The sequence below is a fragment of the Homo sapiens genome, chromosome 20, assembly GCF_000001405.40.
Source record: "Homo sapiens chromosome 20, GRCh38.p14 Primary Assembly".
NCBI lineage: Eukaryota > Metazoa > Chordata > Mammalia > Primates > Hominidae > Homo > Homo sapiens.
The window spans coordinates 56,142,210-56,169,781 of record NC_000020.11 but is presented as its reverse complement, the minus strand read 5'-3'; the positions used below and the strand labels follow the sequence as shown (position 1 = coordinate 56,169,781).

General features: G+C 43.2%; 1 long non-coding RNA gene across 2 annotated transcripts; it reads left to right on the top strand.

Annotated features, from left to right (window-relative positions):
- Window positions 1–27,319, top strand: LOC105372680 (uncharacterized). Of its 2 annotated transcripts, XR_936893.3 has the most exons (4): window positions 1–637; window positions 2,485–2,614; window positions 6,930–7,144; window positions 27,196–27,319. It is a non-coding gene; the product is annotated as an uncharacterized LOC105372680 (long non-coding RNA). The 2 variants fall into 2 exon arrangements; XR_001754685.2 differs by lacking the exon at window positions 1–637 and having other exon boundaries at window positions 1,757–2,614.
- Window positions 27,320–27,572: the final 253 nt, after the last annotated feature.

Genomic DNA, 27,572 nt, shown 5'->3' with positions numbered 1-27,572 from the left:
AATGAAACAATGCAACAGTGCATCACAGTGCATCATATCTGGCATGTGTTAAACGTTCAATAATGTTAATTCTTAAGACAGTCTCAGCCCTTTCTCTTTGACCTCGTTGTGGATGGGTAGAGACGACCCAGTTCCATTTACATCATTACTTCCTATCACTTATTCCCATCATTCTTTTCCCATTCTCTTAGACATGCAGGGAAATAGCAATTTAATTTTAAAATTAGCATTTATCTTTGCCTCTCCACCTAGGTCGTGTGTCATTATAGCAGCTGTTTGGTGTTTATCTGAGAAAGCTCTTTGGTTAATAATATGCTATTGGATTGCTGTTGAGCGTCAATTGGGAGGCAGCCTGGAAAACAGCACTAAGTAAAGTAAACACAGCCATAACCTTTTCTTCTCTCTGCCTCTCATGCTGCCTGAAAGAAGTACACAGCTTCTCTTTTTCCATCACTAACTCATAAATGGAAGGAGCAGGTAATAAATATCATGGGGCTGATGGGTTTCCAGGGAGCCTGAGAAAGAGTGAAGGAGGCTGCCGGAAAGCCAGAGCAGTGTGTGAATGAACCTTAAAACTGTGACCGCCTCCCCCTTGTGCAGCCACGGGAGTAGGATGACCCCCAGTTGACTGAGAAAGGTGAGGCTCTCAACCCCTATCACGGCTGGGGATGCTTTATATTTGGGGAGGCCAGCATGTCATGGTGGATGGAAAGTTTATAAAATCAACATGGGCTGGCTTCCAGGGTGGATGGCCACCTGTTGGGGCTGATGGAATTTAGAGTGCACTGAATCTTCCAAAGGGTCCGTGGGGCAGTGAAAAGAGCCCTGGACAGGGGTCAGGACAAGTGGGCCCTTTTGTCCTGTATTTGCCACAGACCTGCATGATCTGAAAGAAGTCAGATTTTTTTTCTGGATTTCAGTTTCTTCTGTAAACTTGGATGGGATTATAAAATCCGATCCAAGTTAACAGAAAACTTACATAAGTTACGTGAAAAGCACCCCTTGGATTGCTTGGGTTAATTCTCAGAAACAACCACCAGCACTTATCAAGGGCTTTCTGTCTGTCCCAGGCATGATTTAAAACCCTTTATATGTATTAACTCATTTGATTCTCAAAACAAGCCATTTCCCACTATGCAGACAAGGAAACCAAACACCATTGCCTAGCGTCAGTTGTAGAGCTGGGAACTGACCCTGGGCTGCCTGGCTCCTGACACCACATCCCAGTCATGCTGCCATGCTGTCTTCTCAATGGGACTTCCCTGTCCATGGATACAATGTATTATCTTTGTTCCAGGGCTGATGTGAGGATTGAATAAACAATTACACGTAGAGCATCCCTATTTCCCTTGGAGCCCAATCTCAGTCCATGGTTCTGGGTAGGTTTACTCACCCTGACTCTACAGGTGGACGCCTGACTCAGGTGTGACCAATGACAGTGCTACATTCCTGGCTATGGTGATTGGTTCAGGGGTGGTCAAGTCACCTAGGTTGGAAAATCCAGCCAATTGCTAGATCATGACATGAAGTATCAGGAAGGAGTGCTCTTGCCCTGAGGTTATCAATTTAGCAGAACATAAGCTGTTGCTCTTTATAGCCTCCACAAGGAGCGAGGCTACTTCAGAATAAGACAAAAAGGAAGGAGGAAAAAAGAACAGAGAGAGGGAAGGAGGAAGGGAGGGAAGGAAGAAAGAGGGGAGGGAGACAGAAAGAGATACTGAGATTATTTCTGATGGCATCATTAGAACCTCTGGGTTTTGCCCTGCCTAATCAATTATTTGTACAATAAGTCCCATTTTATACTTAAGATGGCTTGCATAGGGTTTTTTTTGCCACTTGAAAAACGGAAAAACATCATGACCTACATATATCATGTTTCTGATCTTGGCAAGAAAAAGAGAGTTTGTAGATTAGAGAGCTGACCTTTGCCACACACTATTGTTCCAGACCTTGGTTTCTGAACCTTGGCATTATTGCCATTTTGGGCCAAATAATTCTTTGTTGTGGGGGCTGTCCTGGGCCTTACAGGATGTCTAGCAGTGTCCCTGGCCACTGCCCACTAGATGCCAGGAGCACCCCTGCCCCCCACAGTCCTGAAAAGCACAAATGTCCCCAGACACTGCCAATGTTTCCTGCAGGCCAAAACCACCTCTAGGTTGAGAAGCACTGATCTAGATAGATCCACGTGGAGTTTCTCTTCAAGCTTGCTTCTTGGATCTCATTTTCTCAGCCGGAGTTAGGAACACGTGTGGAAGTGAAAGTGGAGGTCTTTTAGAACTTTTGTGCTGGCAGACATGATCCATGGTGATGGGCTTGGAGAGTTGGGGAGCTTCCTCATCGATCTGCCGCAGCAGCCCAGAGCGCAAGAGCTCTGTGTTTGGGAGCATTTGTGATAAGCAATGAAATTGGCCACCGAAGGTTGAGTTGTTTAGCGGTGAGGCTGTCAAGTGCTTCCTGATAAGAGCCCTTGATCTCCCATTACAGCGCACGTCACCAGAGGCAGCAATGAGCCCCACCACCTGGCACCACCGCTAATGGCTTTGGCTTCGGCAGAGAGCGGTGTCAGGGCTGCAGACGGAGCACAGATGGGAGTGGCATCCTACAAGATCCCCAGGTTCACTGCCTTTCACAAACATTTTACATCTAAATAACCCTGTAATTAATCTCACAGTCAATTTCCCCTGCTGTTTGCCTAGCTACTCCTATGCAGCTGAAACGTCACCTCCTCAGGGAAGCCGCTCCTGATAACCCATCACTAACAGGAGGCTAAGAGCCCATGTGTCATGGACACTGTTGGAACTCCGCCACATCCCCCAGGGGGACTGGCGGAGTTCCAAGGGACTGGTTTCATGGAAGACAATTTTTCCATGGACTGGAGGAGGTGGGGGGATGGTTTTGGGATGATTCAAGTGCATTACATTTATTGTGTACTTTCTAATATTATTACATTGTAATACACAATGAAATAATTTATACAACTCATCATAATATAGAATCAGTGGGAGCCCTGATCTCGTTTTCCTGCAACCCACATCTGGAAGTGATGGGAGACTGTGACAGATCATCAGGCATTAGATTCTCATAAGGAGCACACGACCTACATCCCGTGCATATACAGTTCACAATAGGGTTTGTGCTCCTATGAGAATCTAATGTGGCCGCTGATCTGACAGGAGTCGGAGCTTAGGCAGTAATGCGAGCTATGGGGAGCTTCTGTAAATACAGATGAAGCTTCGCTTGCACATCTGCCACTCACGTGCTGCTGTGTGGCCTGGGTTGGGGTCCCTGTCCTGGGGTCCCACTAGTGCTCTGAGTGCCCCTCCCTGGCTTTGTGGGCTTCTGCTTCCCACCACCCACACCTGCTCCTTTGCTCAGAGGATTTCCCTGGGCTGCTGGAGACAACTGGTCCACAACCCAAAAGTGCCAGAAGTGCCTGGGTTTATGTCTCCCAGGGTGGGCCTTCGCCAAGGTCTGCAGTTGTGGAATGATACATTTCTGGCTTGTTGGCCACAGATTGGGACAACCCTGAGGCATAATTTGCATTGCAGAGTTGCCTGTGGGGTTAGCTGAAGCTGCTCTTCGTGTGACTTTAAGGGGGTCACCCCTTGCCTGGCCTCCTCCCCTTCCTTATCCTGTTTCTGTCTTCCATCTTCTTCCTGATATCTCCCCTGAGGGGCACTTTCTCCATACGTCACTTTCGTGCGTAGATCTTCCACCTAAAACTCCCTATTGTTGCTCTCCTAACATGGTGTACTTCTTATCAGAACTTTAAATTACACACTTCATTATTTATTGCTGGTCCCCTCCAATGAAACATACCCTCCATTAAGGCAAAGATTATTACCTTATTTGTTGTTGAATCTCCAGTGCCTGGTTAAGATGGGTTATTATTATTATTATTTTATTTGTAATGATTTATATACTAGTCCTAGCTCTCTTATTAGTAGATGGTAAGCTCTTGGAAGGGAGGATCCATGTCTGATGGACTTTACATTCTTCACATCATCTACCACTGAGCTTTACTCATATGAGATCAGTTGATGTTACTGAACAAATACATGGTGTTGATTGTTACTCTATATTGAGCACTTACTTTGCAGTGGAGGAAAGTTATCTTTTCCCTCTATTCATCTTAGGTTCATTGGCTGGGGCCTCTAATAAAAGAGATTAACAAGAGCAAGCCATTCACATTTATTTAATATCAGTTTTACATGACGTGGGAAACTTTAAAAGGAGACCTGAAGAAATAGTTACACTTGAGTGTTTGTTATGCTGGGTTTGAGGAAGAGCGGACAGTGGTGAAGAAACATGATAGGACCAAGGGCAGATGAGCTAAATGTAAGGAGCATGGGGTAAACTCAGTAAGGCCTATTTGTTCAGATTCGTCTTTGTGTCCCTGTGTCTTAGAGATAGAATGTTCCTCTCCTCCAGGGATAGGGAGGGTGCCTCTCTCATGAGGGTCTCATGATCTGCTTTAGGGGTAGGTCAGAAAATCCTTCCTAGGTTCTATGAAGTCTTCAGGGGAAGGTCGAAGAGCCTTTCCCATACATGCCCTTCCTCAACTTCCTTTAGCTTACTCTGTATGCCAAGGTGCCACATTTTGGGGTAGCGTATTCTGAACCCCACCAATGGCATCGTGCTTAGCTCCTCATCTGCAACGTTTCTTCAGGTCTTTACAGCAATCCTGTGAGTTAGGAACATTTTTCATCCTCATTCTACAGCTCAGAGCTGAGGTGCAGAAGGCTTAGGTGGCTGGATCAAAGACACACAGCTGCTACATGGCAGAGTCTTGAATTTGGGTTCTGTTTGATGCCAAAACCCCCCAATCATGCTACCTTCCTTAGTTGGAAGGGATTCTGGATGGTGTGTTTTCAGTCATTCATTCTCTTAAACTGTTTGTGGAACCTCAAGTACTGAAGTAGGTGGGCCTCAGACGAATTAGATAGGAATAAATAACATCACAGCCTGCGACGATGGTGACTTTGTTGTCTACTCTGTGCTTTATCTTCACCCCGAAGAACTGTCACTGTCAAAGGAGATTTGTTCTTTTTGACAGCACTTATTTGTCAGAGCAATCCCTTTAAAGTAGTGATTGATTTGTCGTGTTAACTTTGTAGGTAAGGGTGTGAAACGAATGAGAGCAGGATTGTAGCAACAATTGATATAGTCTTTAGTTGTAAGAAGAATCCAGAAGAAGCTGGTAAGGTGATCAGGGTGAACCAACCTTAAAACTGAACACATACCTCAATGCTGCTAATCATTGGCTAAGAGCATATTAGTCAGGATTCTTTTGGTTCCAAGTGATATAAACTCATTTAACTTGGCCCCAGCGATGTAGAGAATTTATGGATTGGTGCTACTTCAGGTATAGCTGGATGCAGGAATTCAAACTGTCATTCGGACTCCACTTCTCTCCCTTTTTGGGCTCTGCATTTCTCTTTATTGTGTTTATTCTTAATTGTCTCTACCCTCCTGATCCTGTGTGGCAAGAGAGAAGGCCATTGGCAGCTCTAGGCTGTGTGTCTTTTTTTTTTTTTTTTTTTTTTTTTTGAGCCGGAGTCTCACTCTGTTGCCCAGGATGGAGTGCGGTGGCGCTATCTCGGCTCACTGCAAGCTTCTAGGCTGTGTGTCTTTAATGCCCATTGTCTCCGTGGGGGTAAGGGCCTGCCTTTCCCTTTCCTGGAAGAAGGGTCCTGACTGGCTCTGCTTGGGTCATGTGTCCTATCCTGGGCCAATCACTGTGCATGAGGTCAGAGGATTCCTGTTGCATACCAGCCTGAGTCACATGACCACCTTGTCACGTGATGGAGGTAAATCTGTGTCACCAGATGGTGGAGGGACAGTTTTTGAAAACAAAGGAAGGATATTGTAACAAGAGGAAGGGGGCAAAGATTCAAGGCAGACAAAACCAGTCATCAGCTGAAAACAGCACCACCCTCTCCTTCAAAAAATTCTTTGTTAAGAACATCCGATTCACCAAATTGTGGCTGAAAGGATCCACCTTCTTAGTTTTAATAAATTTTGGCATGATGAAAAGAATTTTAAGATGTTCTGATACTACATCAATCCTCCAGTGATGAGTAATGGCCAGTGATGTTGTTCTTTGGGAATTAGGATGTTGAATAATTCAATCTCTATTTTCCCCATCGAATTTTTAATTTTAATTTTTGACAAGGTCATCCAGTCATGTATACCAAAAATATAAAAAAGATAAAAAGATAAGTAGCAGGAAATATTTTTCCTGTCCTAATTCCCAAAGCCTCCAAAACCAAAACTTGTAGCCATTGTTAGTGGTTTCTTGTTTACCCTTCATGTGATATTTTTCTTCATCTAAGTTTAAAAATGGATCTTTTGCTTTTTTAAACAAAAAGTCATCCATGTATACATATTATTCTGTACCTGCTTTTTCTACTTGGAATATGTTCTCTTATAGTTCCTTTTATATTTGAATATAAAGGGCTTATTTCTTCTTTTTTTCAGCTTTCTAATTTTCTGTTATATAGCTATACCATGATTTACTGGACCATTCCTCTGTTGATTGACCCCATAGATTGTTTATAATGTGCTATTATTAGAAACAGCACTGCATTGAATTAGAAACAACACTGAATAAACGTGGGTATTCCTTTCTTTACACATGTGCCAGTGTATATGTAAACATTTACGTATAGAAATATGTTTCTAGGAGCGGTGTTTCCGACGGAGTTTACTCTGAGCCAAAAGGTAAATGCATTGGTAAGTTTTATAGCAGTTGCCAAATGTGTCACAGAAAAGTTGTACCAATTTGCACCTGATGAGCAAGAAATGGTACCTATGACCCCTCTCCACCCCGCAGCCTCATCGGGACAGGGAGTTGCCAGGGTTTTGACTTGGGCTGCGGTGTTCAGTGAGGAATGGTACCTCATGTGCTGTCTTCCCTTCTCTCCCAGCTCAGCGCTCACTTTTGTAGTGAAGACATGCTTTAAAATCATCGAGTGTGCCTGCCTTTGAGATTTGCAAGAGGAAGCAAAGAGCACGTTAATGAAACTTGGGAGGAAACTGAATTTAGAGCTGCTGCAAACACAGAAGTAATGAAAGCAAACATAAAGATGTTAGAAGTGTGGTCAGGAAATTAAAAAAAAAAGAGCTACAGCTTGGAAAATAGGTGATTAATGAGGAATATTGTTAAGATGGAATCAAAGTGTAAGATGGATGGGGAGATGGGGGCATTGTTAAGTTCGTGTTTTCCTGAGAAGGTGGGTTTTGTCACCTGGCACTGAACACACTTTCACACATGATTGATAAACACTGTTGAGAACAATTGCAAACGGCTGCAGTTTTTCCATCTGTGAAATGGGGATGTTTCTAAATTAGTGGGGGTTTCTTACTGGGCAATTGTGAGGGTGAAATGAGATAATATGAATGAAGACAGGGTCCGGTTGGTGTATGACGTTTTATGATCATAAGGCACAGAGGCAATGTGTTAGGAAGCAAATTATGTATCAGCCTCTGAGACCCTTACATACCTGGACCCCTGTCACTTCTGGGTTTTTTTCTGGGAGGCATAGAATGTTCTAGGTGTGTAGCAGAGGCCAGGTCACTTTTGGGAGGCATTCCTATTTGAGCATTTTTGGCAAATTGCCCAGGGACATCCAAGAAGAAAGGGATGTGAATTTCTAAAACACTTATTGTGTGTTGTGATTTGTTTTCTCGTTTTATATAAACATACGTTTCCATACCTGCTGTTATGTTGATAATTTTATATTCTTAAAGAGAGTCTTTATTTTTTATTTTAAATTTTATTTATTTATTTTTGAGATGGAGTCTTGCTCTTGTTTCCCAGGCAGGAGTGCAAAGGTGCGATCTCGGCTCACTGCAACCTCCGCCTCCCGGGTTCAAGCGTTTCTCCTGGCTTAGCCTCCTGAGTAGCTGGGATTAACGGCATGCGCCACCATGCCCGGCTAATTTTTTTTTTTTTTTGTATTTTTAGTAGAGATGGGGTTTCTCCATGTTGGTCAGGTTGGTCTCGAACTTCCAACCTCAGGTGATCCACGTGCCTCGGCCTCCCAAAGTGCTGGGATTACAGGCGTGAGCCACTGCGCCCAGCAGAGAGTCTTTAAAATTGTGTATGTTCCCACAAAACTTAGACCTGCCCCTGATGAATCACTGTTATTATTATAATTAGAAGATTTAGGGAGAGGCAGATGAGGTCCTAGTTTTTGAAAACGTAGATTACAGAAATTAATACCAGTCAAATGGATGGCAGTGCTTCATAAAGCTCTTTCTTTCCCCTCTGCCTCTCTGCTTTCCTTTCTTTTTTTCTTATTATCTTCTTTCCTCCCTTTCTTTCACAAGCATGCTGTTCCAGACACTTAGTGCTAGAAATATGAAATCCCTTCTCTCATGGAACTTGCATTGTGGTTGAGGCAACAGACAAGGAAGCGAAGCATCAATAATGCAGTTTGCAAAGCAGTGAGTCCTGGAAAATAAAACAGAGCAGGGTGGATGTGAGACAGCAGGCTGGGGGTGGGGGATGCTGACGCCCAGTGGCCCGTAAAAGTCTTTTTAAAGTGGTGACATTTCAGCTAAGCCCTGCATGGCACAGGGAGAGGAGCCAGTCCTAGAGATAGGAGGAGCAATCCAGGCAGAGGAAAGAGCAAGTGCAAGGTCCCGAGGTGACAGGAGTGCAGCCTGTGTGAGGGGTGGGCAGGAGCTGGCAGCAGGGAGGAGGAGTGTGTCGGGAGGTGTCTGCGATGCAGTGGAGCTCTAGGAAGTGGTCATTTACTAGATGGCTTCGTTTGCCATGGTCAGAAGTTTAGATTTTATTCCAAATATTATAGGTCACCATTGCAGGGTGTAAATTGTGGGACAGATATTTATATGACGAGTTTATAGGCACATTGGGAAGAAAGTAACAGTTTAAAGGGCTCCCAAGGGTTCCCTAGGTACAAGGTATACCAAGTAACTCTATATCCTTTATTGTAATGTTTTTGAAAGAAAGAGATTTAAGAAATTCTGTAGACATTGTGGATCATGTTTATAAATGCATTTAGTGAAATAGAACAGTAAAACATGGAGCAGACAATGATGCTTTGCAGCAAATTTGCACCTGTTTGGACAACAGATTGAGGTCAAGACCCTGTTGAGTTCAGAGAATCTCAGCTTCACAGAGTTCTAGCTCACCAGTGCTGGGGAGGGAAGCTAACACAAGTGATGATAGGAGCTGAATGATAAAATAAAAGTAAGGGCACTCAAGACGTATTACCCTTTAAGACAGGTATTTATAAAGCATAGCTCTTCAATTTAACTTTGTAGTTCTGTTCATATTTGGTCAACTTCCACCCTACCTGGCACTTAAAAAATGGCTATGGCTATCTAGATTTATTTTAAAAGGTAAAATTGGAAGCAAAATTGATTTAAAAGTATGCTTAGAAAGAGGACCCCAAATGAGACAGAAAGATACAGAATGAAGGCAATTTTTTTTTTCAAGAACGGCCCTTCTGGCATTGTAAAAATTTGTGTTGGTTGGTTACAAGCAACAGAAACCAGTTTGTTAGTTTATGAAAGGCCATGATTTATTGAGAGGCTACCAGGCAATTCACAGGACAGAGGGAGATTTGGAAGCCAGGCTTAGCTGGTACCAAAACTCAGTTGCTGCAGAGAGTCTTGCTATCAGGGTCTATGAAGAGTCCTGACTGGAAAGACCCTCTTTTTGGAGTTTTCCAGGCCAGCTCTGAGAAGCCTGGCTGGAGGTGTGTTCTGCTGTTGCCCAAAAGAGGGAGGGCATATTTGAAATTCAGTCTTGAAGAACTGATTCCACATGGGCACAGCGATTACCGCAAAGGAAATCAGGGTACTCTCCCCCAAGACAGCAGAATGGATGCTGGGTAGCTCCCTTTACCCCAAAATAGTCCTTTACAAGCATCAATTAACAGTTTTGATACAGCAGTGTCATCTCCAGGGTCTTTGTGCTGTCTCAATATTCATTTATTCATTTAGGTGTGTATGCATTTAGTGTGCCTTTCAAAGGGAGGTCTGGGAACCCTCAATGCTATGAAAGAAAGTTCATGTAAGAGGACGGAGAGAAGCATGTAATCCTGCAGAGTCCACCTTGGATATCTCATCTGCCTTGAATGGAATGAGCATCATGATGGAGCCAGGAGGCGGAATTTTGAGATCCATAGTGTCCACTGGGCAGCTGCTTCCGAGGTGTGGGGAGTAGGGGAAATCTATCCCATTGCTCATAAAGTTTATTTATTTAGCAAATCATGTTTTTTATTTTATTTTATTTTTTTGGTCATATTTTCAAAGGTACTCTATTCATCTTAGCTTGTTGGGCCCAGGAATGTTAGACATTTTGTTTTACTGACAGAAAGCTGAGCCCCAGAGACACAAAGTGTCTTAGTCACGGGAACCAGCAGCCAAGTATACCCGATGGCTCTGGAGCCTACTCCCCGGCACTGCCTCACATGAGCTGGGTGATCTTGAGGAAGTCATTTTACTTTCCAAGTCTCAGTTTCCTGATCTGTGAGATGGGTTTGTCAGTATCATCTATCTCATGATGGGTCTGTTTTAAGGGTTAAGAGGACAGTGCTTGGCAGAGTGTCTAAGTGTCAGTAGCAAAGGTGCTGTAGTTAAGAAGATCAGATTTAAAATCAGATAGATTTGGTTTTAAAATTGCCTCTGTCTCTTATCAACAGCAAATTATTGATATTCTAGCAAAGTCCACATTGAGGTGGCCTGAATATTCAAACAAGATAATGGAGACAAAGTACCAGTCCAGTACCTGGGTCCCTGGTCCTCCTAGCAGGCACACACTGGAAGTGTTACCCAGTACAATGTTATGACTCCTAGAAAATTAATATGGGCTGTTTTACCTCCAGAGAAGATGATTGGCAAGAAATGTCTACAGTTCTTTTCCTTGCTTTTGTAAAGACTAGAAGAAACAGTACAATGGAGAGAATTTGGCAATTCCAAATGTCTCAGATTTATTTCCACTTCTTTTCCTGAAAGAAGAAACTGGAAGGCAGAATGTGAAGAAGCAATTCTTGAGCGCAGGGGCTGGCAAGCTTTTCTGTAAAGGGTCAGAGAAGAAATTAGGCTTTTCAGGCCAAATGATCTGCATTCCAACTACTGAACTTTGTCATCCTAACATGAAAACAGCCACAGATAATACATTAAGTGAATACAGCTGTGTTCCAGTAAACCTTTATTTACAAAAACATGCATTGGTCCAGATTTGGCCTGCAGGCTCTAGTTTGCTAAACTGCTTTAGCAATTAAAAAAGACCACATTGGTACCTACTTGGGCCAGGCTTAGGTGGAGTTTTGCATTTTAAAGATCACCGTTCTTGATATATTATTCATGGAGGCACTTCCTAGGGTTTCAAAGCATCAAACATTTCATCGAAAAATCTGGTCATTCCTACCAAAGGCCAACCGTGAACTTTTGGCTTTTCTAATCTTAGATGTGTTCTCTGTGTCAGCTGGACCATTCCAGGGTCAGTTTTGGGAACTACTGTCCTAGGCCCAGAGGATAGATTCCTGGTACTTCAGGGGTCTTTCAAACCCCTTTCCATTCTCCCAGCCCCTCCCGTCCTCTCTTCTCAGATGTCACTGGAGGTGACGCCTTTGCTGTGGAGAGGTGGGCTGTACTGTCATGCCCAAACTTGGGGATTTTATCTTCTCATTCTTTTGCAACTGCAGGAGACAAGTCCTGCCAGTCTTCAGATGGTTACCTTTGAAAGGAGAGAGCTTTCCAAGCTCTCCTGGGCTGACCGTCCGATAATAGCTTACTCCAGTCCCAGGTTCTATTGTGTTTGCTTAACATTTGGGCTTCTGCCAGGTAATTTACCTATAAGCTATGCATAGAAGAGAAAAGAAACTATCCATCTAAAGTATTCAGATTTTGGCCTTAATTAAAATGCAGGATAAATATGTAAAGGCTAAAGAGCATGAATTATAGATACTGGGGTTTCTATATTAAAATCAGTTTTCATCTATGGAGGCGCTTGTGTTTTTATGGCGGGAAGGAAGTGTGTATACAAGTCGGTGGAAAGCAATATAATTACGGCTGTGTGTGCTTAGCAAGATGGGAAACGGAACTATTGTAAGAGAATGAATGCTAGTCTACCTTTCTCATTTCACTGCCTCTGCGGATTTTTTCCCCACCTCGATACCATAAAGGGCTAATCCTGACCCTTGTTATTTAAATTGCTCTGCCATGGCTAGAAAAGCCTCTTAAAAACGCTCGCTCACCTGGTTCCAGGAGCAAAGCCCTTTCTGTTCATTGCTCCTCCTTGGAACGTGGCCCTGCTAGCTGTGGGGACGGAGTGGGGAGCTTTCAGAGGCTGAATGACAAGCCTAGGGTCCTAAGTAAGGTCAGGCCACAGCTCATCCACCTATAAAGTTAGAGGCTCTGGGCTTTTCCACCAAGGGTCACAGAAGGGAGATGAAGGAGCCCAAAAGAGCTGAAGTCAGGCGTCCAAGTATGTGGCTATCCACTTAAGGGCCAGGATGGATAAAGGTCAGGAATGCTGAGGTCGGGGGCCACCTGTGAGACAACTTCATAATTGGGATTTTTAGAGGTTACATTCACACACGTTGTTTTAAAGCAGTGTTGGGAAGAATCACGCTGAGAATTTGCTTTACTCTGGACCTTTGAAAAACAAATATTAAATGTGCAACAATTATGTTTTAATCAACATGGGTGGGGGAAAAGTGGCTTTTTGTAGCAGACAGAAAGTGCCAGATTTTCTAGAAAGCATTGAATTTTTTTTTTTTTTTTTGAGACGAAGTGTAGCTCTGTCACCCAGGCTGGAGTGCAGTGGCGCGATCTTGGCTCACTGCAACCTCCATCTCCCAGGTTCAAGTGATCTTCCTGCCTCAGCCTCCTGAGTCTCTGGGATTACAGGTGCGTGCCACCACACCTGGCTTTTTTTGTGTGTTTTTAGTAGGGACGGGGTTTTGCCATGTTGGCCAGGCTGGTCTTGAACTCATGATCTCAAATGATGCACCTGCCTCTGCCTCCCAAAGCGCTGGGATTACAGGTGTGAACCATGCCTTGCCATCATTGAATGTTTAGAGAGATTTAGTTTTAGAAAAAAGTGATGCTTTAAACAAAGCCCAACACTTCAAGTGCATGAAGAATGCATTAACAGCCTGGACACTGGGCTGTTGGAGTATTCCTACTCCACTGATCTTGGGGGGGATGTTGAATCCAGGGCTGTGAGAGCTGATGCTGTTTTGGGGCACTCTGGCTGGAGGTAAAAGCCAGGGTATTTCATGGGATTGAAAAGTGAACAAGTGGGAGAGGAGCAGTCCCACCTTCACTCAGTCTGTCGTGAGACCTGCCTAAGCGGTGATAGATGCTGAGGGCTGCCATCCTCTCATTTTGGGTCACTTCCGGCAACTTTGCCATACTGGCCTGAAAGTACCTGTTACTGTTTTCAGAGTGGATTTGAGGATGTGTGAGGAATAAAGATATAATCTGTAGGTTTTTTTTGAAAAAAGCTCTGCTGTTATTATAGAGTTTTTTTTCTTTGTTGTAATTTTTATTGTTATGGTTTCTGATTTGGTATTGAGTGGCCATAAACCAAGATAGACGCTTTCTAGGAGTGCCCTCTCTGGGGGAAGTTAGGTTTGGGTGTGTCAGTCAGGTGAGGCATAAGAAAAGGCAAAACCAAATGGCATGAAATGGAAGAAATGCATTACTTACAGATTGGGAGGTTAGAGATGCCTCTGGGAGACTGTCAGAAACTCTGAGGGGGCAGGAAGATCAGCCAGGGGATGGGGAGAGACACACACACAGAGAGACAGTGAGAGAGAGACAGAGAGAGATAGAGACAGAGAGAGACACAGAGCGAAAGAGACAGAGATAGTGAGAGAGAGAAAGCGAGAGACAGAGACAGAGACAGTGAGAGAGAGAGACAGCAAGAGACAGAGACAGAGAGAGAGAGGCAGAGGGCGAGAGAGAGATAGAGAGTGAGAAAGAGACAGAGAGACAGAAAGACAGTGAGGAGACAGAGACAGCGAGCAAGAGAGAGACAGCAAGACAGCAAGAGAGGCAGAGAGACAGCAAGACAGAGAGACAGAGACAGCGAGACAGCAAGAGAGACAGTGAGACAAAGAGAACAAAGAGAGACAGCAAGAGAGAGACAGAGAGAGACAGCAAGAGAGGGAGAGAAGGAGAGACAGAAAGAGAGACAGAGAGAAGGAGAGAGACAGAAGGCAGGGTAGAGGGAGAGGAACCTGAGGGTTGGAGACCTTATTAAGGCCAGGGTGTTGCCCATGGAGGTTTCCTATGGAGCTCTAATTGGTGGGTTTAGAGCACACAGGTGGGTGCGAGTTCTGAGTGGGGTGACTAACAGGTGGTCAAACTGTGGCATGTCTTTGCAGTCCATGGGGGGTGTGGGGGCCAGGGGAGTGAGTCAGATAGGTGGTACCCAGCTGTCCCATAAGGAAGTGGCCACCTCCCAACCAGGAGGCCAGGAGGCGGTTGTATACCGCTGATATCTGGATCCACCATGTCAAGAAACTAGGAGTAGGCAGAGGACTGGAAACTGTGTCAAAGGTGACTAAGCCCTACTCTGGTATGAGAAGTTTAAACTTATCTTTAAAATGGATTTCAAGGCAATGTAAAATTACAGGAATTCACTACAGAATGGTTGAAGCAAAATTTCCTAGTTGTCACATTGAGAGATTCCCCCAAACCTTGGATATTGGGTGGCATCTCTGAGGCTATGAAGGCCTACAAAGCCTGGTCAACCTTTAAAGTATAGTCCACAAACCAAGGCCCACGGGCCAAAGCCAGCTCAATGCCTGTTTCTGTAAAACCAAGAGTTCTTGGAACATAGCCATGCTCGTTCATTTACAGTAGGTTTCTATGCTGCAGCAGCAGAGTTGAGTAGTCATGACAGAGACCATAGAATTTACACAGCCTAAAACATTTACTGTCTAGTTCTCCACAGGAAACATTTGCTGCCCCCTGCGTTAGACTATAGAAAAAAATTCACTTATTTTTGAAAAAAAAATCTGAGAATTTCAGCATTTGTAACCATAGCTCCAGGAGGATTCCCCTGGGACCCTCATTCTCCCAGACTATTACTTCTGGTGGCCACACTGGGGTCCCATCAGTTGGACCACATCACATGGGTTGAGTTGGTGATATTTCAACAGGAAAATCGACAAATGAGCTTTTTCTCTCTTCTCTTTCTCTCTTTTGCTTCTTGAAGCCACATAACAGAAATTGCAGCATGACAGGCAAATTCTTTGCTCGTTATGAAATGATAAAGGTCAAGTTGCTCCAATCTTGCTTGCAAGTAAAATACCTGGCTAAGTGAAATCTGTCAGAGACTTCACCCTGTTATCAGGATGACAAATATTTTGACGGGTCTCAGAAACAGAACTGTTTTTATTTACCTGTTCTATTTCCCACATAACACCTTTTCCATTTGTCTCTCCCCTCTTTGGCTGGTCTGGTTGGCCCATACTTTTAACAATTGCAGGCATGAGGATGGAGACACTTGAAAACCTGTCATCAGCTGTCCCCAGCACTGTTTCCATTTCTTCCTGAAGAAAGCATGGAATGTCAGGCTTCTTGCAGGGAAATTACCGTATATACAAACGCACAAGATGCTAGCCCATATGGGATACCCCATAATTTTGCAGCAGCAGAAACAAACAACTGCCTCTCGATTATGCCTCATGTGAACTGTGCTTACTGCATCTTAAACTTCAAAGCATTGAAAATTGCCTCATATCACAGGCAAACCTATTTCAACTGTCCGTGAGCAAACCTGCTTGTTCTTTACAAGCCTTCATGATTATAGAGCTTTGTGCTTTTTGTTTGCGGTTTAGAATTATGTGATCTTCTAAAAACCCTTCCCCTTGGTTGGATGTTTTTTTGTCTGTAAAATAAAATCCCTAAAAATAATAACCTGTAGAGGTATGTACAAAATATATTGCATTTTTAGCATCCAGAAGAACCTACAGTTTTGATAACTTTAATTGGGTCCCTGAAGCAAAATTATTCCTGGAATAACCAAGGCATATTTCTTAAAACATGGCAGAATTTGGCCTTAGGAAATTTCTTTTAATTCTAATATATCAAAATTACTGGCTGTTTACATAAGAACTGTTCTACAGAGGATTATCTATTTAAGATGTAATTGTGTACTAAGAATGAATTGCAAGTGGAAAGCAAACTTAAAATTCAGACATCACATTTAGAGGTCAATCAAGTTCTTTAGACATTTATTTATTTATTTAGTTTTTTGTCTTTATATTCATTTTCCACCTTCTTTCTTCCCTCATTGTTTGAATAATCTTAAGCCATTTGTTCTGGTAGGGCTGAGTTTGAAAGTTTTAAGAGCTTCAAAGATATGAGGTTTGTACTTCATTCTTTTCGCTGTGTCCCCACCCAAACCTCATCTGAAATTGTAATCTCCCTGTGCAGAGGGAGGCACCTGGTGGGAGGTGATTGGATCACGGGGGTGGTTTCCCCCATGGTGTTCTCATGATAGTGAGTGAGTATTCACAGGATCTGATGAGTTTATAGGTGCTTGGGAGTTCCTCCTTCACTCGCACTCTCTTCCCTGCTGCCTTGTGCAGAAGGTACTTGCTTCTCCTTCACCTTCCACCATGACTGCAAGTTTCCTAAGGCTTCCCCAGCCACGTGGAACTGTGAGTCATTTAAACATCTTTTGTTTATAAGTTACTCAGTCTCAGGGAGTTTGTTACAGCAGTGTGAAAAATGGACTAATACACACACAATGGCAGAGGCAGGTTTGCTGCAGCAAATTCATGTAATCCCGAAACCATGACAGTCACACAGTGCAGGTTCAGCGTGACTGAAGTTCGGGTGCAGGAGGAACAAATCTGCTCTCTTCTTCAATGAAGAGCTAACCTGTGCCCCCACACCACCCAGATTAAAAGGGTCTCTAAATCCCATCTGGTAACCCAGAGAAGTCCTGAGCGGGGAATTCAGATGGGAAGTCTCTCAAACCAGCTGTTTCCCTTTCAACTTGACTTGGCGTGCTCAGCTGATGGGTGGCTTAGGAAGGGCCAATGTGGGGGCAGGTGATCACTGATGTGTAGGCCTCCGGGAAAGCCCTGTCCTCCATCTGTGATGTCTGTTGGCTGGTCTGCAGGGGAGGAAAGAAAGCCCTCTCTGCTTACAGCCCAAAGTGGTGGTGCTTCTCATTTGTGGATTTTTACCTTTTCATTGTTGTTATTTTGATGGCTCTTGATTTAATTCGGTGGATAATTGTCTTTATTGTATGGAGTGTGGAGGACAATTCTAGGCATCTGCCTTCTGATAGGAAAGCAGAGCTCACAGAGCCTGCCCTGGTGCTCCAAAATAGCCAGCGTGTGACTGAAGCTGGGCTCACTCAGTGGTTCTCAACTGGGGGCAGTTGTGTCCTCAGGAGATATTTGGCGATGTCTGGAGACAGCTTTTGGTTGTTAGAATTGGTGGGGGGTGCTGCTGGCATCTGGCAGGTGGAGGCCAGGGATGCTACTAAACGTTCTGCAATGCACAGGAAGGGACCCACAAAAAAGAAAGATCCAGCCCTAAATGTCAGCAAGTGTCACAGTGGAGAAGTCCTGGGTTAATGGAAGGTGTTTCCCTAGGGCTTTGATTTCTGAGTGAATCACGTGAGGAGAGGGTCACCATGGGAAGCCATTCCTTCCAGCTGTGACAAGAGCAGTGGCTACAGGATGGCGTCCGAACTGTTTGGCTACAGGGTGGTTCCTTTACATCCTACTTGACTTCCTGCTGCCTGCTTCTCAGTGCCTGCCTGCCTGCTGTCAAGCCTGGCCACCTGGGCTCCCCATAGAGTCTGTGAGTACCTCTCTCCTCCAGACATTATCCTTCCAATAAACTCCATTAGCTGGAACTGGTTTCTTTTACTTGCAACAAAACCATAACTGCTACACCATTGCTTTTCAAACTTAAACTGTTTATTATTATTATTTGTTTAGGTAGTGGAACCATTCTACCCCACCCTCACCTCCAAGTAGGATCTTACACAGAACTTCATTATACGGGGCAGGGAAAACTGCAGCTGCTGTCCTGGTTATCTTGCTCCCCCTCCACCTCATTCCCCAGGACTGACTTCCCACAGCAGCACCTGAGAGGAACTCATTAGGAATTTGAGGCTTCAGGAAACCTATTTATAGCTATTAGGTTAAAGCACAGAAGGCTCCTGTTAAGTTGTAACCTGAGAGGTAGAGTATATGAAGCCATCCTCAGCCCTTCATACCCTATTTAGAATGAGTTTATGTGACTGCCTAATTAGTGAGCAGTGTCCAAAGAGGAGGATAAGTACTGGAGTCAGAGCAAGTTAGAAAAGATTCAGGGCATTGGACCCAACCTTGGGGGCAGACCTAGTTAGTCCTGGTTTGGAAGATGGAATGAGAGGAAGGGCAACCAGAGCAAGGCTTGGCAGGAAGGTCCAAGTCCTAGGACGGATATAAGCCTGGGGGCCCAACCTATGGTAGGTACACAGTGAATCAGGCCAGATGTTGGCATATTGAAGACATGGGATAGTCTTCACTTCTACCCAAAAGATATTTGCCTCCATTTGCCTTGAAATATGTGTTCCTCTTGGTCTGTGTATGATTTTGCCTCTTATGATAGAGGTTTAGTTGTGAGAAGTAGACTTCTACTCAAGAAAAGAAATATTGCAAGAGTAATGATAAGCCATAACTTGACTTCAGTGTTTAGGAGTAATAGGGAGTAGTGGGGAGTGTGGCAAAGTGGAGAGCGAATGTGCCATCCAAAGGAAATAGCTGATGTTCAGATTAGACAAATGTTGCCAAGGGGAACGTGGGGTCCAGGGTGACTAAATTTTCTGATTTTTGTTGTTGTTGTTGAAACAGAAACCTCAGCCTCCCAAGTAGCTGGGACTACAGATGCATGCCACCACACCTGCCTAATTTTTTAATTTTTTGTTTTGTAGAGACAGGTTCTTGCTATGCTGCCTAGGCTTGTCTCAAACGCTGGCCTCAAGTGATCCTCCCACCTTGGCCTCCTAAAGTGCTGGGATTATAGGCATGAGCCACCACACCCAGGCTAAATCTTCTGATTTTTAAAGAGAATCTAGAAATGTGAAGTTTCATGTGAATTCTCCTTATTAAACAATTATGAAGCAGAGATACATATCTGTGGGTTATAGTTGATTTATTGGACACCTGCTTGAGATCTCTGTCTTTAATCAAAGAAAGAGATGTTGAATAACTGCAATGTTGGGCTCACTGGTTTCCCTGTTTCCTCCGCCAATGCCGACTCTCTCTCTTCCTCTACTTCTGTGTCACTGTCTCCCCTGTCTCCCTCCTTCTCTTTCTTTCACTCTCTTTTAATCTCTCTCTGTCCTGTCTCTCACCTGCCTCTTTCTTTCCCTTCTTCCTCTCTCTCACTCTCTTTCAATCTTTCTCCCTGTTTCTCCCTCCTTCCCTTCTTTTTCTCTCTCTCAATCTCTCTCTCTTTGCCTGTCTCTCTGTGTCTCTCTCTAAAGATCTCACAGATCCTAAGTAGGATCTGTGACCAGATTGATCTTTCCTAGAACACCTCTTCCATTGCATTCTTTGCTCTAGTTCACCACTTGTCATTGACCTTTTCAGTTTAAACTTCACTCATAGACTCGAACTGTGGATCTTAAAGAGTTGTAAAGGTGTGCAAAGGCTCGAAAGGAGCGGAGAAGGCATTTCTGGGGAAAGTGCCAGTGTGAGTGCACGTGGGGTGGGCAGAGTGATGACGACTCATGTGGAGGTCTGGATGGTGCAGAGTGATGGGGGCACAGGGTTTACAAGATGACAACAGGCAGTGCAGGTTGGTCTGGTTGGAAAAGGACCCACCAGTGTTTGGGCTTCATCTTGCAAGAAAAGGGGAGCTATGGAATGGGTTTCAGCAGGATGGGCAGGCAGGAAAGTAATATTTCAGACTTGATTTTTTTAAATCACGTGTAGTGTGGATTAGACAGTAGAAGACCAGAATTTTGTAAAGGGTGGCAGTGGAATGGAAAGGTTGGTTGAGTTGAGTGAAATCCATCAAAGGCAAGATAAATCAGCTGGATTTGGAGACTGCTTGAAATGAGGGATGAAATAGACTGATAAACATTTCTCAATTCCCAACTAAGTGCAGTGGTGAGGTGCATGGATTCTGGAGCCAGCTGTGAATGTGAGTCATAGCTCTCCAAGCTGTGACCATGGAGATATCCTTTATTCCTCTATACCTCAGTTTCCTTCTTTGGAAAAGAGAAAATAATGGTATGAAGATTAAATGGATTAATAATTTTCAAGAGCTTAGAAAAATATCTAGCTTAATATTGCACTAAATTGGTGGGAGATAAACAAAATGTGAGCTTCCTACTCTGCTTACTACTTCACACATTTTTTCACATTCAATCCATGCAGACAATTTCAGAACTGGAGTGAATAGTAACTACCTTTTATTCCTATTTTTGCAGAATAAAACACTGGGTCTCAGAGAGGTTAGATAACTTGCCTGATATCACACAGCAACTGGCAGAGCTGAAAATTGGACCCAGTCTGAAATCAGAGATACAGCAACATGATTTAACCAGTTGGTGCATGGATGGCTGAAACAGTTCTTGAAGAGGCTCTCTTAGAATCACGAAGTAGCTAATTACTTGCGGTTATTGGAAGCACAGCTACCTGTATGCAGAATGGGGCTCGGTTAATCATTTAGATTGGTGACCAGAACTGGATTTGGAATTTTCTTTTCAGTCTTTGACTCCAGCAGAGACTGGCATGGAGGGAGCTGGTGTCTAGCCACAGTGATGTGACAGCTAACTCTTGAAGTTGAGCAGATTTTCCACTGGTGTCTCCTCCAGTCTCTGGCCTTGGTGTGGAATAAAAAATTTGAGACTGTGGTTTTATTCCCACATCAGGGGGATTCTGGGCGGGTTTATCTACTCTGAGTTTTCTTTCCCTTGTGGTCTGCCTCTGAAACAGTAACAGTTTTGTTTTGAGCAATCCGTAATGTCATTTCAAACCTATTAACAGCTCTCAGCTTTGTTTGTGTACATCGGAGAGAAGTGCAATGCTCTGTCATTAACACACGGCAACAAACAGCAATGGCAACCCAGGAAGCATTCAAGCTTCCTCCATTTTGAATTCGAGAGTATGCACTTGTGTGTGTGTGTGTGTGTGTGTGTAGAGCAGGTGTGTCCCCACTTTTCTGGTGTTTTTTTCTCTCCTTCTGCAGTGCCATACACACACACACATACACTATTGCTTGATATTCTCCCCTCATGCTAGGCTAGGTAACTAAAAAGGCTTTTTTTTTTTTTCCTGGAAATTTTACTTCCAACCAGAGCCACCCTTTATTTTGAAATTGCACAAAAGCCCTGTATATTTGATATCGTGCGAGCTCTTGGTGGGTTCCAAATGTGGATGAAATTTACAGGATAGCTTGTCGATAGAACATAAAATATGAATGAAACTGTCATCTTGTGGTGGGATCTGGAGATGCAGCTTATTGCAGGCAACACAGCTCATTAATCATAGTTGGGGTTTTTACATGTATTTGTGCCATTTGTGTGATCAACATTTGTCTTCTGAATAGATTTTTAGCTTCATGAAGGCATGAGCCATCATCTTTTTTTTTCTTTCCTTCACATCGTCGCATCCCCAGAGCTCTATTTGGCAGATAGAACAAGCTCAATAAATATCTGTTGAATGAATGAAGCATCGTATAAGGAGAGTCCCAAATCCTGTCAATTGTTCTCTTGCCCGTTCCTTGCAGGATCTATTCTTTAAGGTGGTAAAGCTCAAGGTGTTGGAGCCTCACCCCATCCCAGAACAGAGAAAATCTCATTCTCCTGTGGCTGATGCTTTGCACCCCTCAGTGGGGACGGAAGGGGGACGGTTTGAGGATCAGGCAGGAAGTAAAGGCCAGGAGAAGCCATGGATGAGCTTTATGACTTTTCTCAGGAGGCAGATGTTGGAAATGCAGCAATGCGGTCTCTTATTACTGAATTAGTTGGTGCTGAAGTATACTCATTGCCTTCAAACAGGAAGGTGTACTCCACATCGTATCACCACCTACTCTCCCAATCTGTCTTTGTCATAAAACCTAGCAGGCAGACAAGAATTGAAAGAGCGAGTGTTTTCAGTGACTTTGGGGGGCAACCCATATTCTTTTCTTTAATATTGGCAATGATAAATACGACATAAGTTGCATTACTGAGGTCAGATAGGAAGTCCTGAAGCATGAGGCTTGGAATACCTTTCCCTTGAAATAAACCGAGAAAACAGAATCGTTAACTGTTGGGAGCATTTTGCTATGTGAGGGAGTCCAAGATGAAGAGACAGAAAAGAGGCAAACTGCATTCTCATCACATGCTCCAAGGCAACACCTATATTTTGAGAAGTGTTAGTAACATTTCAGAGCAATTATCATAAGTAGAACATCTACTGGGTTCTGATACATTTACCTGTGACATTACACCAAGTGAGTCTGTTGGAAGTGGGAGGATTATGCCTCATTCCAGATGCATTTTGGCACTCAGGACAAAAAGCAGTTGGGCTGCTAGTTTAAAAAATAGAATGAAAGCTATGGAGAGCATAAGCCTAGATGTTTCCTTGCTGCCTTCCTAAGACTTTGTGGAGTGCCCTGTGCTCCTCCCTGATGAGCTTAACAGCACTGATTCTAGCTCTCAGGAGGCATCCCTAACCTAGGCGTGGAATGATAAACTCGTGGGAACCATCCTAGAGGCTGGAAGAAAAGACCAGAAGAGATGCCAGAATCCCATTTAGCAAAGACATAAAAATATGGCTTTTGTTTGTTTTGTAAATTTTTTTTTTTTTACCAGGGTAGTACATTTAGGGTGAAGGGAGAAATGAATAAGCAGAGAACAGGATTTTTAGAGCAGTGAAAATGTGCTACAATGTTGAATACATGGCATTGTACATTTGTCAAAATCCCTTAGCATGTACAATACCAAGAGTGAACCTTAATGTAAACTGTGGACTTTGGGTGATAATGATGTGTTATTGTAGGTTCATTAATGGTAATAAATGTATCACCCTAGTGTAAGATGTTGATAGTTGGGAAAGTTGTATGTATGTGTGTGTGGGGGGGGATGGGGGGAGGGGTGGGGGTGGAGGCAAGAGGTATATGGAAACTGTGCTTTCTGCTTAATTTTTCTGTGAACCTAAAATGATTCTGTATTAGTCCATTCTCATACTGCTATGAAGAACTACCTGAGACTGGGTAATTTATGAGGAAAAGAGGTTTAATTGACTCATGGTTCCAGAAGCTTAACAGGAAGCGTGACTGGGAAGCCTCAGGAAATTTACAATCATGACAGAAGGCAAAGGGGAAGCAGGCACCTTCTTCAGTGGTGGCAGGAGGGAGAGAGAGAGTTAAGTGGGGAACTGTCACACACTTTTAAGCCATCGGATCCTGGGAAAACTCACTATCATGAGAACAGCAAGGGGGAAATCCACCCCCATGATCTGATCTCCTCCCATCAGGCCCCTTCTCCAATTCTACATCAGATTTGGGTGGGGACACAAATCCAAACCATATCATGCTCTAGAACATTAAAAACAATGAATTTATTTAGCACTCACTATGGACCAAAATATGGGAGCCCTCTTAGAGCTCCAAAGAGAGATTGCTGCTAAAAATATCAATTACATAACTTAACTGAAATTGTGATAAGTGCACTGAAAAAAAAAGTACTAGGCATTATGAAAGGATATATGAGAAGACCTAGCTTGATATTGGATGGTCAGCTTCAGTTTCTCTGAAGAAGGAATATTTGAGTTGAAGTTATTTCAACCAGGAAGAAACAAGAAACAAAGTAGAAGGAAATCAGTGGCTCCTGGAATTGAAAAGTCGAGATGTAGGTCTAGTTTCAGGCATGGCTTGATCCAGATGCTTCATCAATGCCACCAAGTCTCTCTTCCTCTCCACTTCTCAGTCCTGTTTTCTTCTGTGTGAATTTTACCCTCAGGCAGACTCTCTCCTATGGTGGCACCCACTGGACTGGGACCTTCTTGAAGTCAAAGACAGAGCCTTATTCATTGGGGGTACTCTTAGCGCTAAGAGAGGGCTCATGTGAAAGAAGAAATTCTATAAATAGGGCTGGGCGTGGTGGCTCATGCCTGTAATCCCAGCACTTTGGGAGGCTAAGGTGGGTGGATCACCTGAGGTCAGGAGTAAGACCAGCCTGGCCAACATGGTGAAACCCCGTCTCTACTAAAAATACATAAATTAGCCAGGCGTGGTGGCGGGTGCCTGTAATCCCAGCTACTCGGGAGGCTGAGGCAGGAGAATCGCTTGAACCTGGGAGGTGGAGGTTGCTGTGAGCCGAGATCATGCCATTGCACTCCAGCCTGGGAGACAAGAGTGAAACTACATCTCAAAAAAAAAAAAAAAAAAAGAAATTCCATAAATGTTTCTTGAGCAAATGAAGGCATTTTTATGCTTGTTCAGCCTTCTGTGAGTGACATTGATTGAGCACCTGCATCAAGCCACATGTGAAGCTCGAAGTGCTTCTAGACTCTCCAATTCTGTGAACCAATGGATAGTTTTTGTTTTGTTTGATTGTTTGATGATTTTCTTAAAAAAAAAAAACAACAACTTTAACTCAAATATCACTTCTTCAAAGAAAGGTTCCTAACCCTCCCATATAAGGTGTGGCTTGTATATATACCTGCTTACAAACCTCTGTATTTTTTCTTTTCTTTTCTTCCTCTCCTCACCGGTTGAAATCTACTCCATCCTTAACAGATTCAGCTCAAATCTTCCCTCTTTCATAAAGGAATAGAACAGAGGTCAACAAACTATGACCCCTGGGCCAAATCTGGTTGGTTGCCTGCTTTTGTGAACAAAGTTACGTTGGCTTTAGATAGAAGAAGTAAGACCTGGTGTTCAATAGATCATGAGGGTGATTATAGATAACATTAATCCTTTGTGCATTTCACAATAACTAGAAGAGAATAATTTGAAGGTTCCTACTGTCTTGAAGTAAATGTTTAAGGTGATGGCTATCCTCATTGCCCTGATTTAATTATATGAATGTATCAGATTATCACATGTACTGTGAAAATACAGCTAGAATGTATTAATATAAAAGAGTTTTATTGCCACACAGCCCTGCCCGTTTGTTCACTTCTTGTCTATGCTGCATTTGTGCTATAACAACGGAGTTGAGGTCCATAGATACTTCATAGCCTGAAATGCTGAAAATATTAACTGGCCTTTTACAGCAAACTTGTGCTGACCTTGAGTACAGAGGAATAGTTAGTAGTCTGGACTGTGGACTCGGGCTTTGGGTTCGAATCCCAGCTATGTTATTGGTAAAGTGGTGGAATCCCTTAATCCTTCTGAGCCTCATTTTCCTTACGTGTAAAGTGGGAATAATAAGAGCTCTTACTTTATAAGGTTATAATAGTCAAATATGATTATGCATATATATCACTCAGCACAAAGCTTTGACTATGGTGAGCAATACAAATGTTATTGTTATGATTTTTAATACTAGCACTAGTTTGTTAGTGGAGATTTTAATGTTGAATCCCTAGATTTTGGAAGAGTTGTTGAATTGGCTTCCTGTCTAACTGACAATTTTTTCTTGTGGTAGAAAATAATTGCTTGATGATTTAGGAAACTACGTCAAATGTGACTCTGAATTGTTTCAATGAGTGCTAAAAAGATAAGCAGCCTCTTCCTGTTTTTTTTTTTCATTCTCTCTTCAATTTTCCTGAAACACAGGATAAAAATGTAAAAAAAAAAAAAATTCTCAGCTCTCAGGGTGGGCCATGTCAAACTCCCACAGTGTGTTAGCATAAAAATCTGAAAAGCTTCCAAATAAAGGAAGGCAGTGGTGGTGGAGTGGGGTGTGGCGTGGAGGTGGATATTTTCCTGCTGTAAGACTACGTGAGGTTTTGTCTAAATAGCTTCACTGTCGGCTTCTTAATCCTGATCAAATGTGGCTTTATGAGGAGCTCTGTTTTGGTAAATCTTACTTGGAAGCAAAAAGAAAACACAAAACCTCAAATAGCATGTTGAGATTAAGATGACAACTGCTACCAGAGTTCTGTCTGCTTCTCTTCGATGTGGAATCCACAGTGAGTGACTTAAAGCCTAGGCTAGGGCATTCGGGCAAGAGTTTAAATCCTGATTTCATTGCTCTGTTACCTTGGACAGTTTACTTAACCTCTCTGAGCTCTAATTCCCTGACCGTGAAAGAGAGGCGTTAATATCAGCTACAGGCTGGGATGAAGATAAGATGAGATGATATATGTAAAGTGCCTGGCTTATTATCAGCCTAGGGAATGTTTAATAATTTATTAGCTGCTTTTATTATGGTGGGTTGGCAATGTTATTTACATCTCGTCTTTGTATATCAATACAAGAAAATTATGTAGGTAAATTTGTTGGGGTGTTAATTAGGTAAGTTGAGTAATAGGGTTTAATAGATCTCTGTTATTATTCCCTGATAATCTTTTCAGGTAGGGATTTGTGATCCCAAAGTCTTCATTCAAAAAGCCTCAAAACCTTCTAATATCCGACAGTGGGAGATGAGGAAAGTATCCTCCTGAGAATGCTGGCAGGGTTTTTGTGAAATTATTTTCTTAAATCAGACTTGCAAATGTGTTTTTGAAAAGCATGACTCTCACAAAGTCAAGCCTGAAAACCGTGGTCTCATCCCACCTCCACTTACCAACATATCACACCCTTTCCTTCATCTCTTCCTATTGCTTTGGTACTCAGCCACATAAATACCTGCAGGAAAAGGAGGGGGTGCCCAGAGGATGAGAGGCAAAGGAGTTTCTATGATGATTAGAGCTATGGAAGCTGGGAGTGTTATTTTTCAAAATCACAGAAATCTAAACAGAATGTTATGAAAATTGCTCGTTCATATTTATTTTCTAAAATACCCTATAGAATACAGGATATTGGGGGAAATGGTTACTGTCCAGGTTACTTTTGGTTTTCAGCAACTACTTATTGATGGAATCAATAATGGCTTTTTCACTGATATTTGGCTAAAATTTGGGGGCTGGATTCCCAAAGTCCCCACATAGCTCACAGTTATGCTTGAAAAGGCGCTTGCCTATGACTCATGCCTTTTCTTGTCTTTCAAAAGGAAAGTCTAGTGATTAGTGGGCGGTAGACCCCTGAACCACAGGTTTAGGCTTTGGGAGGATCTCTACCCAGTATTACTTTCTTTTACAGATTTTGAACATTCGCAAAGACTGATTTGCTCCAGGACTGTCTAGAACCACATTCCCAGAAGTGTATTCTGGGAGCATTAGTCCTACCAGATGCTCTACCAAATAAAGGACTCTTGGCCAAGCAAGATTTAGGAGTGTTGCTTACTCTGCCCTTTCCTAGTGAAATTGCCTTTGCAAAGATTATGACAGTGAGAGAAATCTCACATAACTGACTCCATCTTACTTCTAATCTCACACACTCACACACTAACTGTTCTTGCTCATTCCTTGGTATAGGCCAAGCTAACTGTGGAAGGAATTTGGTTTATAGTTTAAAGCAAGGATGGTAACAGTCTCTTCCCAAAACTAACCCCCTCCTCACTTGGGGACTGAAATTGC